This window comes from Homo sapiens, chromosome 11 (assembly GCF_000001405.40).
Source record: "Homo sapiens chromosome 11, GRCh38.p14 Primary Assembly".
Lineage (NCBI taxonomy): Eukaryota > Metazoa > Chordata > Mammalia > Primates > Hominidae > Homo > Homo sapiens.
The window spans coordinates 119,823,552-119,838,429 of NC_000011.10; the positions used below are offsets into that span (position 1 = coordinate 119,823,552).

Sequence of the window (14,878 nt, forward strand, 5' to 3'; positions counted from 1 at the left end):
TGAGTTTGGTTCTAGATGGCAATTCCTCCTGGAGCCTTCTTAATTTCCTTGGTAAATAAGATCGCTTTGATCACTGCCTCAGAGAAAACTTAATTCTGATATGGAATGTCTTGAGTTTGTATCAGTTTGCGGATTCTCCACTGGAAAAATGAGCTGGTGGTGAAAGGGTCCCACAAGAGGAGAAGACAAACATCTCTCTCTCTCTCTCTGTGTGTGTGTGTGTGTGTGTGTGTGTGTGTGTGTGTGTGTGTCTGTCTGTCTGTCTCCTAGTTCTAGTTAGAACTAGGAGAGCAGGTAAGGGTATTTTGAGTCCATTTGTTGGGACAGGGCAGTTGGGTAAGGATGGGGTTAGGGACTATTGTTTGGAGCTCAAAGACAGTAAAATGCTTTCAGTTTTGGTGACTCAAAATGTGGGTTATGGGGAGCAGCATATAAGAAAACCCCTTTCCTTGCCAATCTGAGTTCCACATTTCCTTCCAAATCCTGCTTAGAGTTCGCCACCTCCAGGAAGCCTTCCTTCCTACCTCACCTCAGTCCTGGCTGTGATTGGTCCCTTCTTTGAGCCTAAGTTGGCCTGGACAGATTCGTATCTTTGGACCAAGGGTGGATGCTCACACTGCAGCATCTAGGGGAACCTCCCTCTCTCTGGGCCTTGATTTCATCATTTATACATCAAAGAGGATGATGGTGACTCTGGCCCTTGCAGTCTCTGATACTGAGGGCACCCAGGGAGGGTGAGAGTAGGCAGGGTGGGGAGAAGCAGCAGACATCCCTGTTATCTATGGGATGTTATGCTAGGGCTTTTTCATCCATTACCTCATTGAACTTCACAACAATCCTATGGATCTGGAACTATGACCATTCTCATTTTACAGATGAGGAAATAGAGGCTTAGAGACGTTAAATGATTTGCCCAAGGTTGGTCTCACAGGAAATGGCCAGGCTGCATTAGACACAGTCACCTGGCCTAGGCAGGGAGGCCTTGCCAGGAACCTGGGGAGGGGCCGGGCGGACCCTGTGGCACATTCCCCCAGGGTCAGCAGGAGCCTCTGAGATTTCCCCTGCCTCTCTGATCTCTTGCTCTACTGACTGTGTGCTGTCTGTCTCAGTCTTGGAAACTCCTAGGGATCGGAATTACACACTGTCTTTTCTCTAGGTCAAGGACTGAAAAATTAAATTCTTACAGGGCTAGGCAGTAATTAAGTGAAGTGGGCAGAATAAGTGCAAATTTGTTTGTTGCCTGAGTGGTGGTAAATGCAGCTCCTGAAGAGCACTTGCTTCTCAGGGATGGCTGCTTCTCAGCTCCAGCCAATTGTTACCTCCTGGTATCAGGGCTCAGTGTTATCAGAACCTCTGATCTTTAAAGAGAAGCTACATTTCCTGATTTCTAAAAGTTGGTCTAAATCTGCTGGTTCTGAGCAGTACTTTAAAACAACAAATGAATACATGAATAAAATACATTAACAGACTGAATGTTACTCTGCCAGGTGACAGTTTTGCAACCTCTGAAGCCTGATTTCATCCTTGCCTTGTCCAGGCAAGCTTGGTTGAAAGTCTCCTCTTCTATGGTTGCTCAGGAGGTGATGCTGATGCCTTTGGGTGGGACCATGGTTTGGTGTTTGTGATGAAGTGGGAAGAAGTCTCCCAGAAGTCTCTTACCTTACCGCTCCTCCATCCCCACTGCCCCCACAACCCTCAAGCACACTTCAGTACTTTCCAAGAGTGGGACAGGTATTGACAAGAGTGGGTCCCAGTTTCAGACCTCTTTGAGTAGTTTTCCAACTGGACTTGGAACAACAATGTGAAATGGCATCCTGACAGGAATAGCAGCCCGTTGAAGTTATGTCCTCCATCCTCAAAGTTCTCTGAGGAGATTAGGGACATAGTAGCTGGGGTGAGGTGAACGTCATACACACATTCTAAGATGACCAACACATAAGGGAACAAGACACTTTGACCAAGTACCAGTAGAAACAATAGACAATAGAAACAGAGTCATGCAGGCTTCAGATATTGGAATTATCAGACATAGACTATAAAATAACTATGCTTACTATGTTCAAAGAAATAAAAAACACCAGCTTGAAAACTTCAGCAGGGAACTGAAAACTATTAAATACATAACAAATTTTTAAAAAAGGAATTCTAGAACTAAAATGCAATAGCTAAAATTAAGAAATTGATGGGTGAGTTTTAAAGCAGATTAAACACAGCTAAAGAGAAAATTACTGAATTGGAATTAAGGTCAGATGAAACTGTTCAGTGTAGCACTGAGAAAAAAAGATGGAAAATACAGAAAAGAGGGTAAAAGACAAGGAGGACAAAATGAGAAAGCCTAGCGTATATTTAATTGAAGTCTCAGATGAAAGGAGAAAGAAGAGAGAGAGAAAACCAGGTGGAAGAAATATTTAAATTTTCTATTACAGAGGAAAGACATCAGTTTATTGTTCAAGAAGGGTTCAGTGGTGGATTGATCTGTACCAGACACAGGAGGGTTCAGCCATTCACTGGCTCAGAGGGGTCAGAAATGACTCGCAAATCACTGGGCCTATATGGGAATTGAGCCAGAGGTCTCTAGCCTAGGAGAAATGGGATTTGGGAGAGTAACAGAAGTGAAGCTTTCATTCATTTACTTCACTAATTTACAAATTGATTCATTTGTTCACTTACTTATCAATTCAATATCTATTTTTTGAGCACCTAAGAGGCTTGAGTCACTGTAATTGGCATTTGATCAGAAAATGAAGAGTCTTCATTTTTTTTTTTTTAATTTTTAGAGACAGGGTCTTGCTATGTTGCTTAAGCTGGTCTTGACCTCCTGGGCTCAAGCTATCCTTCCACCCCATAGTCCCAAGTAGCTGGGATTACAGGCATGCACCACTGTACCCAGGTGAAAGTCTTAGTTTTAAAGAAAATGTTTGCCCTTGAATGAGGCAAGATGTTTAGGGAGTTTAGTGTCTGGGTGCCCAGAGGCAACATGGCACCTGGAGCCTATGATGATGGGAATTAGAGGCTGGTTTGGGGACAAAGGTCGTTTGATGGGAAATGACCAAAACTAGTGCCTATGAAGATGTTGGCCCATCTGTGAAGATAGCAGTCACTCTAGGAAGAGGTAATTTGGACTCCAACTCAGCAGCTTTGCTACTTTGAGTGGAATTGGTAGGATTTTTGAGAACCTGACCAACTTAATGTTATTTTTGTTTTATTCATTTTCAATAAGATTTATTGTAATAAAAGGAGCCTGCCTAAACTATACTAAAAGGAAGAGTATGCTGGTATCAGCTGCAGAGAAAGGTGACACAGCAGTCCTGTAAAGGTGACACGTGGGCATTAAGGAGGGCATTCCAAGGTACATCTTCAGGGTACAAAGCCAGGACTCTGAGCAGCTATCCCACCTGGGGATTTGGGAAGGCTTAGAACACTTGAGCCACATGTAAACTTGGCCACTAGCACCCTCTATGGCTCTCTCTCAACTTTTTGGGCTCTTAGACCCCTTTGAGGTTGCAATGAAGCCTGTTACCAGAAAAGCACACTTACAAACAACAGTGCAAATTCAGGGGATCCCTGGATCCTAGCCTAAAATCCTTTGATCTATTCACCCCTTTATTGTAATTTGGGAAAACTGAGGTCTTCATTGGTAGTGGTTGTTTAAATTCATGCAGTTGGTGGTAGAGTTAGGGCTCTGTTTCAGGTGTCTTGCCCTCTGGTTTGCTGCTTCTCCCCACTTGCTCCTCCCCTCTCCCCCTAGAGCTCTCCTGGGTGGAGTCCTGCCGCTGTGTTTTGTGTGAGAGGCAGCACTCTCACAGGACATGGTGTGGGGGAAGGTCAGCTCATTAAGTTGCACGGGGTAGAATAAGGTTCCTGAGAGGTTTTGGGGGAATATCAGTAGGTGGAAGGCCCAGAAGGGGATACCCTTCTGGAGGAAGGGATCCTTCTCCTGCAGGACCTGGGAGTACTAGCTGCTTTTTAATCCAAAAGGCACTGGAGAGTATGCGAAAGCACTTGGATAGACTAGGGATGTGATAAAAGTGTTGTTAAAGGAAGCTGATTCCTATAGTCATGTTCTTCCCTCTCTCATAGCAAACAGGACTCCAGGGCGACCCAGTGCTTGGGAGACAGCCCAGATTCCCAGTGTGACCTTAGCCTCAGTTCATCCTTCCTGAAATCCACCATACCAAAGCTTTGGGGGCAGGTGGAAGGCTCTTGGAGACCCCAGTTTTGTAGGACAAATTCCCCTCTGATTTGCTCTCCTCTCTTTTCTGTGTTGCTCTTTCCTCTTGTCTTCCCTGTCTGTTGCAGGGAGAGCACAAAGAGGAGGTAGGGCACAAGCACCACCCATCAAACTCTCATTTTCTTTCAAGAAAAAATTACAATTATGAAAGATTTCACCATTGGGTCTAAAAACACCACAATGCAAATGCCTCTGTTCCCCCAGTCCTCTTCCCTCTCTCCTCATCATCGTGTCCCTTTCTTCATCAGCACCGCTGATCGACTACACTCTGGGGGAAGGGGGTTCGTGCGGAAGCCATTGGGATCTTCAGCAGCAGAGAGGAGAAGTGAGGACGGGGAGGGGAGAGGCGAGGTGTGGTCAGAGCCAGGTGCAGCTGGGAAAGAGGGAGGCTGGAGTACTAGGAGTCCACAGCTTGCTCAGACCAATGTGCACTGTGGGAGGGGCAGTGAAGCAGCCTCCAGCTCTTGCTGCTGAATGGTGAGCAGTTTCCTGGCGCACTTAGCTGGAGGTAGCCTTCTCCCTCTTCCTGGTGAAAGTGTGATGTGGAGTTTATTGATTCCATTTACCACAGTATTTTCCTTAAATATTTTTTTGAGTCTAATGCACACCGTATGCACCCATAATGGCTCTAGCTAGCCTTGTTTTTCTGTAGAACCAATAAAGCAATTTGGAGGAGATGAAATTGAACTCAGAGGCATCAGGAGAGGGTGGCTGGAGATGTGCGCAGGGAGGGAAGGATGAGCCTGAGATAAAAGACCCAGGCGGTGGAGACATTCAGGATTGAGGGGCAATACAGCACTGTGATGACAGAGAGATGGGAAGGAATGGAAAAAAGAAAAGAAGTCAGGCAAGCCAGGGGATAAGGAAACACTAGAGGGGGAAAAGGGAGGGAAAAGAGAGATTGAAGAGAAAAAGGAAAGAGAAGGAAAGATGAAAGAATATATTATAGCCAACCCACAATTTTGTGTGACCTTGGGGATATGGGAGAGTTAAGTCTATGGGTGGCCTTCAAATTACTCTCCACAGTCTAAGTCTAATTCTAATCTCTTCTCTCGCTCACCCAGCCTTTCATGAGAAAAGCAAAATAGACATCTGTGTTGGACTGCAGTGTTGTCTACTTCCCCAGCATCCATTCACCCCTCTCTCACTGCAGAGCAGCCATGTTACCTGAGCAGGACTCAACTTCTGGGTTGGTCCCTAATGGGCTAAGCCAATGACAGTATTCTTACCTTCCCTGGCCTCAGTGATTGGGTAAGGAAAAGGCATATAACCCAGCACCAAGCCAATCAATGCATAGGATTCTCTTGGCCATGGTGATTGGCTTGAGAGCTACCTTGTGATGTAAGTTGGTCCAATCAGAGAGAAAGTTGGGATTTGTGGTAAAAGTTGGGAGTAAGAAAAGCCTTTTAAACCTCCGTGGTTATGAAAAAGGAAGCATGTGACCCCGGAGGTGCTAGCACACATTTTGCTATTGTGAGGGAATTCAATCTGAGAATGGGCCTGATACATTAGAAAAGGAGAGTGGAGAGAATCACAAAGCAATGTAGCCAAGGATTATGAGACATTACCAACCTCTGGGTGAAACTCCTCCTGAAGCTGACATTTCCCCTGGGGATTCCAATTTCATGAGTCAATAGATTTCCTATTGGTTAAGTAATTTTGAGTTTGATTTTCTGTTATATACAGTGGACAGTATAATATCTTTACATTTGATTCCTTCTGTTCTTTCAGCTACAGGCCTCGTGAAAGCTTTTGCAGAGTGTATCTGCAGGCCTGCGTTGGGCAGGGTTCCAGGGGAAGACTGGGCTTCAGATGAACTCCTCTCCCAGAAGCTTAACTCAGTCCCCAGGGTCAGGCTGGTAGGGGGAGGGAAGGAGGGAGGAGTAAAAGGCCAGAGAATCCACATTCTGGAAGGTCAGGCCCTTTCCACTCAGCTGGGCAAACTCTCCCTGCTCAGCCCCGAGTCAGTCTTCAGAGCACCTTTCAGCTCCAGGTACAGATTCCCCAGACTGGGATCCAAGACCGACCCTCCTGGACTCATCTTCCACTGCTCCCCTCTGTGTACCCCACTGCCAGCCAGACTCCAGCACACCACCCCTCTCCTCCCCTGCCCATCTACTTACTGGGGGTCCCTTTGCCTGGAAACTCCCACTCCTATCTGTTTGGATGTCACTCATCTCTCAAGCCCTGCCTCAACACCACCCCTGAAGCCTCCCCTGACTTTAATAATCCACCCAAAACCCTCTTCCTCCTGCGGGAGCTTCATCTGAATCTGTGTGAATTGTGGTTGGGTGGGTGGCATGAGAAAATGTGTAGTTTGAAAAGTCATACTCAACATGTCTATTGTTTTTGTCCATAAACTGCCAAAAGTTAGGTTAACAAACTGCTCTGGATTAATGGAATTATACTTCAGACAGCAAGAGAAAGCATTGCTGGGGTCATAGGCTAAAAAAAAAATGTTGAGAACTCACACTCTAATTGATGAATCCTCTTCTCTGTTCGACTTCTAAGGGCCCTTGCACCTTTCTGTAGCACTCGATGGGCCCTGCCTTACACTGCAGTTGTTTGTATATTGATCTTGCTCCTTTGCTAGGTCATAACCACCACTGACTGGCAGAACTGGGAGGGCCTTGGGATATCACCGGATTCAGGGATCCACCACCTCTTCTTCACGAGTTGCACGTGAGCAATGGTTCACCTTTGCAGTGAGCTGCTAAGGTTATTTTAAAAACTGAGTTTGAAAGCTGTCACCCCTCACCTTTCTTTCATATTCAAGAAAGCATAAAAGAAACTGAGTGATTCTGGAACAAAGAGGTCACTGCGTGGCTTTTAAAAGGCCTTCGTGAAACCATGGTCTTGACAGCTTAATTTGTAGAGATAAAATGCTTTTTGTTACATTTATGAAACAACTCTTTGCATCAGCAGCACCAAGCTTGGAGGCCTGGGCATAGCTTTAAGCTAGGGCTTTGTGTTTGTCCGTTTGCATTGCTATAAAGTGATACCTGAGGCTGGGTAATTTATTTAAAAAAGGAGGTATATTTGGGCTCAGGGTTCTGCAAGCTGTACAGGAAGCATTTTGGGAAACCCAAAGGGATCCCCCAACAGCAGGAATGGGACAGCTCTTCCTGGCTTCTTGGGAGGTAGGGGAGGCTGTGAGCCTCCTTCTTCCTCCATGTCACCCTCACTGGGTCAAACTTCAGAGCAGGGACAGGTGAGAAATAAATATTCCCAGGTAGGTGTGGGGGACCTGAGAATATTGGGGCTTGTGGACTGCCTTCTGTGTGTGGCCTGAGATGAAGACAAACCTCCCAGAGAAGGTCCGGGTTTGGCGTGGCCCTGGGTCAGACGTGGTGCAGCCCTGGTTGAGGGAGCTGTGCAGGGCGGTTCTTAATCAGTGTTCCTGGCTGCCAATGCCCTGTATCCAACACAGCAGAGGATCTGGGAGTTCCGTGTGTCTCAGAGGGGAGATTGCAGAAGTGTGAAAGAATTGTGGACATACAGGCCTGGAGTTAGGATGAGGAGGACACGTGAGGGCAGATGGTGGGAGAGGCTGGGACCTCATCTGGGAGTGCTATCCGATGTCAGAAAAGATCAGCTGCAGCCAGAGGGCAACAGGTTGGACACCCAGAGATAGGTGGCCCAGGGGAATAGCTCATGGAGGCTGACAATAACCCAGAGGACAGCAGGTGGGCTGGGGGCCCTGCCCTGGCCACCACAAGGAGACACAAACTTCCCCCATCCCAAGGCCATCCAAGGAAGGAGGATGGAAGAAATAGTGCTAAAAGGGACTTTTAAATGGAATTACTGTTTAATGGTAAGTTGATCACCACCCCCTCCATCCCTTAAGACCCCCACACCCACCAAACTGTGAGCAGGGATGGACAACCTGGATCAAGAAGTGGTCAGCGATGGAAAATAAAGTAACTTTGTCCTACCAATCTGAGTTATTGTGTGTACATTCCATCCCTTATTGCAGTAATTGTAATTTTGATGAGTGAGAAGAAAGGGAAGCTCAAGGTGCTGTGAGAATATGTACTGGGACATCTGACTTCGTTTGGGACATCAGAGAGGTCTGCCCAGAGGAGGAGAAGTTTAAGACAAATTCTGGAAGATGTATATGTATAGGGGTTCATGGGAGTGCAGAGGGAGAGCAGTGTTCCAGGAGTGGGTGACCCTTGCTTCTTTATCCTATATGAGAACCCCCTCAGAGTCCCTGGGCTGGGCTACCCTAGCCGATCTCCCCATCTCCTATCCAGGGCCAGGAGCAAGGGGACTCTTCCCAGAGGCCCTCGGGGTCTGCTGGAAGGGATACATGTGAATACAGCCTGGGCTGAGCCTCTGGCAGGAAGTCTGACAGTTGGTTGTCCCTGACCTCTCAGCCAGCCACAGCCCCTGATGCCTTTGCTAACTGAGCAGGGTTGGGGTAGGAGAACTCCCAGCCCCCATGTCCCCTGCTGGTCCACATGCCCTGCTGCTCAGCCAGGAGCTGTGTGTGGTGTTGGCTGCTCCGCTTAATGGTCGGGAAAGGAGGCAATCATGTCCCTTCCTTCTGCCGGCTGAGAGCCCGTGCAGAGGAAGCCCATTGGCAGCCCCTACTCATGTGCCAGCCTCAATTAGCCTAAGCGGGAGCAGAGGGCAGCACGGGTAATAAAACCTGCAGCCAGGCAGCATGGGGCTGGGGATCCCTGGAAAGGCTGGGAACCCAGGAGAGACCTGGGTGGGGGCAAAGATAGCATTTGGAGGGATCTGTGAGGGTAGACAAAGAGAAAGGCAGGTATCAGCTATTTCCTTGCTCCTGCTTTGAAAGAAAATGTTCCAGATTGGAATCAAAACCGCAGGACCAGAAGTTCTCATTCATTGAAAGCATCTGGACCCAGGCTGAGTGAAAGCAAATGGACTCCAGTTCAAGAGGGCAGAGGAAAGCGTACCAGGAAGTGGATTCTCAGACTGGAGGAGCAGGGATGGGGGTGGAGACAGGGCTGAAGCCTGGATTGGCTGCAACTCTCCAGGAGCAGCGCTGCTAGTGAGCTGGCCAAGGACAGTGGGCGTGGGGGAGCTCCGGCAGTGGTGCTTCATATGGGGTGGGTGGGAGCTGAGGCCACAGCCTGGGGTTTCCAGGGAGCACAGGGACCCCCTAAATAGACCTTGCAGAGCACCGGGTGGACGTGAGGAGCTGTAGGCTGGGCCCTGGCTATTGGGGAATTAATTTCTCCATGATTCCCCCCATCCTTTTCCAGGATTCCCAACCCTCATAGAACAGCCAAGGAGCGGGTCACCGGCTGCCTCGTTAAAGTTGAATTTCAGGTAAGCAACAAATAAATGGATTAATATAGGTATGTCCCACACAATATGTGAGATATATTTACACTAAACAATGATCCATTACTTACCTGAAATTCTAATGTAACTGGGCACTTTGGGTTTTTTCCAGAGAGTGATGGGGGACCTCCTCCCAGCGTGGGGTCTGCATCTCTCCTGGAGGAAGGAGGGTGTCCTGTGCTGACCGCTGGCTCTCTACCCCAGGCCCATCCCGGGGGTGTGCAGGCCACTGTGAGAGGTCACTGGATTCCCTGGCTGACTCTGGTGGGGCCCTCCTTATACAGGCAACGGAGGGGAGACTGCTTCATGAGGGCCACCCAGACCTCTGGTGGGCAAGACAGACAGACAGACAGAGGAGGTCTGGGGAGAGGGGATCCTGTAGGAAAGAGTGGAGGGCCCAGGCCCATGGGAGGCCCGTTCTCACCAGCAGGGCCCGCAGTGTCTCTGGGTTCCTGCGGCTCCTTGCTCCGCTGTGCTGCCCTTGGTTAGCCGACCAGACTCAGTGATGAATTTTCAGAGCACAAATCTGACCATGCCATTTTCTTTCACAAAACCCTTTGGCGACTCCCTTTACCTTTAAGTCAGTCAAAATTTCTTAGCATTCTGGCCCCCTGCCTGGCTCTCCATCCTTATCTCCGTCCACACTGTGTGCCATTCTACCCTAGCGAAGTTCGGCCACTTGCAGTTCTGTAAACAAACCTTGCTCCTTCATGCTACAGGCGTCTGCCTAAGCTGTGGCCCTTCCATGGAATTCTTGACTATACTCCTTCCTCACCCTTCCATGCTATTTGCCATTCAAGATCAAGCTTAATGAGTATCTCTTCTTAGAATCCTTCCTTGGCTCCTCTTCATCCTGTCCTCAGGAGAACTCAGACCTGGGACAGGCTGGATATGCCCAAATCATACTCATGCATTGTGCTCCAAAGTACTCTGGCTCCTACATTCCCCACCTCAGTGAACAGCTTCCCCATGTACCTGGCATCCAAAGTAGAAACCCCATACTTCTCATTCACCCTCCCCAGTTACCCTTGGTCCCCACCCCATTCAAGTAGCCATCAAGTCTGGTCATTCTCACTCCTAAGGATGGCCCAGGTGGGGCCATCTATTTTGTCTGCACCCTGCAATTTTCCTCACGAGCACTTTACTGACCACCCTGAAGTTTCATGACATTTCCAGCTGTCTGCCTCCCATTCTAGACTGAAAACTGAAGGATCAGGAGGGCTGGGCTGTCTATCTGGGACACCACGTGTCTCCAGTGCCCTGCAGCACCTGACATGTGTGTAGGAGCTCCATGTTTCTTGGGTGAACCACGCATGCCCTTCACAGGGAGATTGTATCTTTCAGACCTCCAAAGTGCAGGCTCGGTCTTGTCACCTGATTACCCATCCTTCATCCTTCAGATCCCAACTCAAATGTCACCTCCTCCAGGAAGTCCTCCTTGAGCCCCGGGTTAAGTCAGCTCCCTGGGTTACACACTCCACAGCACTAAATGACTTTCCATTGCTGGACTCACCTGAGAGTACTGTAGGTGCACACTTACACCTAGGTGATTGTTTACGAGTGTCTGCCTTCTCCACCAGGCTGTGAGCTTCATGTGAGCTTCCAGGAAACATGTCTGTTTTGAGTCACTCTTGTACTCTCAGTGCCCAAAGACAGTAGGTACTGCATAAATCTTTGGTGAATGAATGGACAATCCAAGAGTAATGGATGAGAGAGGGATTTGCAAACTGTAAAGTTCCAGTGTTCTCCACCTTTCTGAGGCTCCTCTCATGTAACATTGGCCCTCCATGTGGGTGCGTTCTTAAATGTTGTGTGGTGGGGCAGGGGAGCATGGCAGACTCTCAGTGGGCAAGGAAAGGGCATGTGTAGTTTAGAGACAGCCCAGAGTAAATTTGATACTTTCCCCTCCCCTGCATACATGTTCTCTCTCTTCTTTTCTCTGTCTCTCACATCCAGGGACATTGAATTGATACAGGTTTGTGTTGCTGTTGTTGGCAGTGTGTTTTACACCTGTTAGTTTCAGCAGGTCTATCTTAGAGTATAAACTCCCAGAAAGAAGGAACTGGGTCTACAAGAGTCTCTGTAAAAGGTCTGAGTACTTAAACGGAGTTGGAAAATGAATCCGTGTCTAGCTAGTAAATTGTATGTAAAACCCTTTTCATGTGGGAGGTGGGAAGGGTATGTGTTACTGTGGCAGAGGCTGGGGGAGAGCATTCAAAGACTTCCCCCTCCAGATGGATCGCAGCAGGAAGGCCTAATGGAGGAGGTGAAACTCCCCCCAGCCCTCCCCATGTTGTCTCTGCTTTGGGGAACAAGTGCAGACATAGATGCAGGGGTCTGATTCTTCCCAGAGTCCTGATGTTGGACGAGACTTTGGACATTGTGACTTAGTTTCTCTTTTATAGCAGGAATTCTTCCAGCAGCCTCCCTGGCAGATACCACAGAGTCAGCATTGGAAGGGGCTTTGGACATCGAGGTTTGGAAAGAACCAGCTTAGTTCCAACACTCCCAGAGTCGGGGAGCTCACTACTTTGTCCAGTAGTTCATCCCACAGTTGAATATCTCATCGTTAGCTCTTTCTTTTTCTGAGCTAGTTGTACTTACTTGTTCATGTCCCTCCTGCTTCTGCTTGAAGAATAATGAGCCTGATGGCTCTCCCGGGGCAGCTCTTCAAGGCTGGGATGCCTCTCCGGCATCGTCCTGGTGCAATCTGCACTCCTGTGGCTGGGCCCTCCTGGATCCTGGATCTATCTCCCTCTTTGGAGGACAGGGTGGGATGAATCAGTGGGTCTGGCTGGGGGCTGAAGGTTCCTGTGTTGATCCTCCCCTCATTGTGTCCTCCCCCCAGATCAGGAGACTTTCTCCTGTGGGCTCTCCTCCCGCTGCCCCAGGCCCGCGAGTCTGTCACACAGCTATGACTTACCTAAATGTGTGTCACCCAGAGGACAGGAACATTTGATTGCTGGGGAAAAATACTTATTTTTTCCTAACGCCTTTCAAAAAATGAGTCATGATTGGTCTAAAAATAGTCCGTGGAAATCAGAAGAAACAAACACACACACAAAATGATACTAAAATTCAGAGTACCTAATTATAGGAGAAAGGAAATGGTTTGGCAAATTGGGATTCCAGTAATGTTTTCATATTTTCTTTGAATCAAACATCATGCAGGGAGAGTGAAATACATTCGGCATTGTTAATAAATTTTCTAACCCAGAGACTCATCGTCCCTCTATCAAGCTGTTTACAACCTCCATGGGCATTTCTGAGTTTGTGGTTTTTGGACTTACTCCCCTCTCTGCTTTTCCCCGGGCAGCTCCTGTTGACTAGCATAAACCTCACAACCGGCATGATCAATCAGGCCGCCTGTCATCATTGCTCAGTCCAGACACTGAGCAAGCACCTTGGGTGAGAAAAGCACTGTAGAGGGCACTAAACAAAGATTATTTCTAACATTAAGTCTTTAATCCGTCTTGAATTAATTTTTGTATAAGGTGTAAGGAAGGGATCCAGTTTCAGCTTTCTACATATGACTAGCCTGTTTTCCCAGCACCATTTATTAAATAGGGAATCCTTTCCCCATTTCTTGTTTTTGTCAGGTTTGTCAAAGATCAGATAGTTGTAGATGTGTGGTGTTATTTCTGAGGCCTCTGTTCTGTTCCATTGGTCTATATCTCTGTTTTGGTAACAGTACCATGCTGTTTTGGTTACTGTAGCCTTGTAGTATAGTTTGAAGTCAGGTAGCGTGATGCCTCCAGCTTTGTTCTTTTTGCTTAGGATTGACTTGGCAATGTGGGCTCTTTTTTGGTTCCATATGAACTTTAAAGAAGCTAGAAACCATCATTCTGAGCAAACTATCAGAAGGACAGAAAACCAAACACTGTATGTTCTAATTCATAGGTGGGAATTGAACAATGAGAACACTTGGTCACAGGGTAGGGAACATCACACACTGGGGCCTGTCATGGGATGCGGGGCCAGGGGAGGGATAGTATTGGGAGAAATATCTAATGTAAATGACAGGTTGATGGGTGCAGTGGGCCAACATGGCACATGTATACTTATGTAATGAGCCTGCACGTTGTGCACATGTACCCTAGAACTTAAAGTATAATAAAAAAAAAAAGAAAAAAGAAAGATTATTGAGTGGATCGTTCATGAACCCGTAGGAAGAAAAGGAGCGATCACTAGGAAGCATCTTGGGTTCACCAAGTGGAAGTCCCGCCACAATAAACTCCTTTCTCCGGCTGCTGGGTTTTCTAGACTGGTAGACGTGCAGGGCACGATGAACATGGCATATCTGGATTTCAGCAAGGCATTTTGTAAGGACTCTGATGTAATCCTCAGGGACGAGATGGAGAATTGTGGATTAGACAGTAATAGAGTTAGATGGATTAGCAAACCAAGAGCAATGTGAGCCAACAGTGGGGTGAGGCTGCCAGGAAAGCAATGCAATCTTGGACTATATTAATCAAAGCACAGAGTGCAGAAGATGGGAGATAATGGTGTGGCCCTCTGTGCTTGGCAGTGGTCAGACCACATCTGGAGACTTGCGTTTCATTCTGGGAGCCACAATTGAGCAAGGACATTGACGAATGGGATAGCATTTGGAGGAGGGGGCCTGGGATGCCCCAGGGTCTTGCTGTCATGCCAGACAAGGAGTGGTTGAGGGAGCTTGGGACTTTAACCTGGAAGAGAGAACACGGAAATGGATCCTGACAGCTGTTTTCAAATATTTAAAGGTCTGCCCTGGAAGACTGAGTGGAAATATCAGATGCAGTGTTAGAAACTCAGCACTTGACAGCCAGGCAGATTTTGGTTCGGTCCATAGTACCCTAGCAAGAAGTGGGAGGCTCTGAACCCTGCAAGAGCCCTGGAGGAAGAATTCAATGTGGTCTTGGCCTGATGCATCCTGTTCTACACTTTTCTGTCTTACCAAAAGTAAACCAATAAACCCTGTGCTAAGCCTGGAGGAGGATGGAGGGGTACAGTGGCGCATGGGACCCTGGCCTCAAGGAGCTTCTGTTTGAGTCAGAGTTGGATAAACAAACAACTGTTATTCATGGAAGGATCTAACTGTTTATAGGAGGAAGAGCACTTGATTGTAGGAAAAGAGGCCTGTTTACTGGTTCCTGTTCAGCTGCCAATTAGCTGTGTGACCTTGGGCAAATTATTGCATCTTTCTGTGTCTCCAGTTTCTTGTGTGTCAAAACAAATTTCTGGGGTGTGGCCCTCGACCTTTGCAGTGCACACTAACCAGCTAGGAAACATGTAACATGCAGCCCCTGCCTCACAGCATCAGTAGTCCTGGGGCAGGGTGGCCAGGTG

General features: G+C 47.8%; 1 long non-coding RNA gene across 1 annotated transcript in view, besides 1 other annotated feature; it reads left to right on the top strand.

The window, feature by feature from the left end:
* Nucleotides 1-9,330: 9,330 nt before the first annotated feature.
* Nucleotides 9,331-14,878, top strand: part of LOC124902771 (uncharacterized) — a 34,803-nt gene continuing 29,255 nt past the window's right edge. Inside the window, exon 1 of the long non-coding RNA XR_007062920.1 lies at nucleotides 9,331-9,535. This is a non-coding gene — a long non-coding RNA (uncharacterized LOC124902771). The remainder of the gene's footprint in view (nucleotides 9,536-14,878) is intronic.
* Nucleotides 10,859-11,041: a silencer, noted in NCBI's record as "fragment chr11:119705119-119705301 (GRCh37/hg19 assembly coordinates)". NCBI's record gives its function as "represses an EF-1alpha promoter that drives an FKBP-Casp9 reporter gene in an ReSE screen in K562 erythroleukemia cells {active_cell/tissue: K562}" and the evidence as "EXISTENCE:reporter gene assay evidence [ECO:0000049][PMID:32094911]".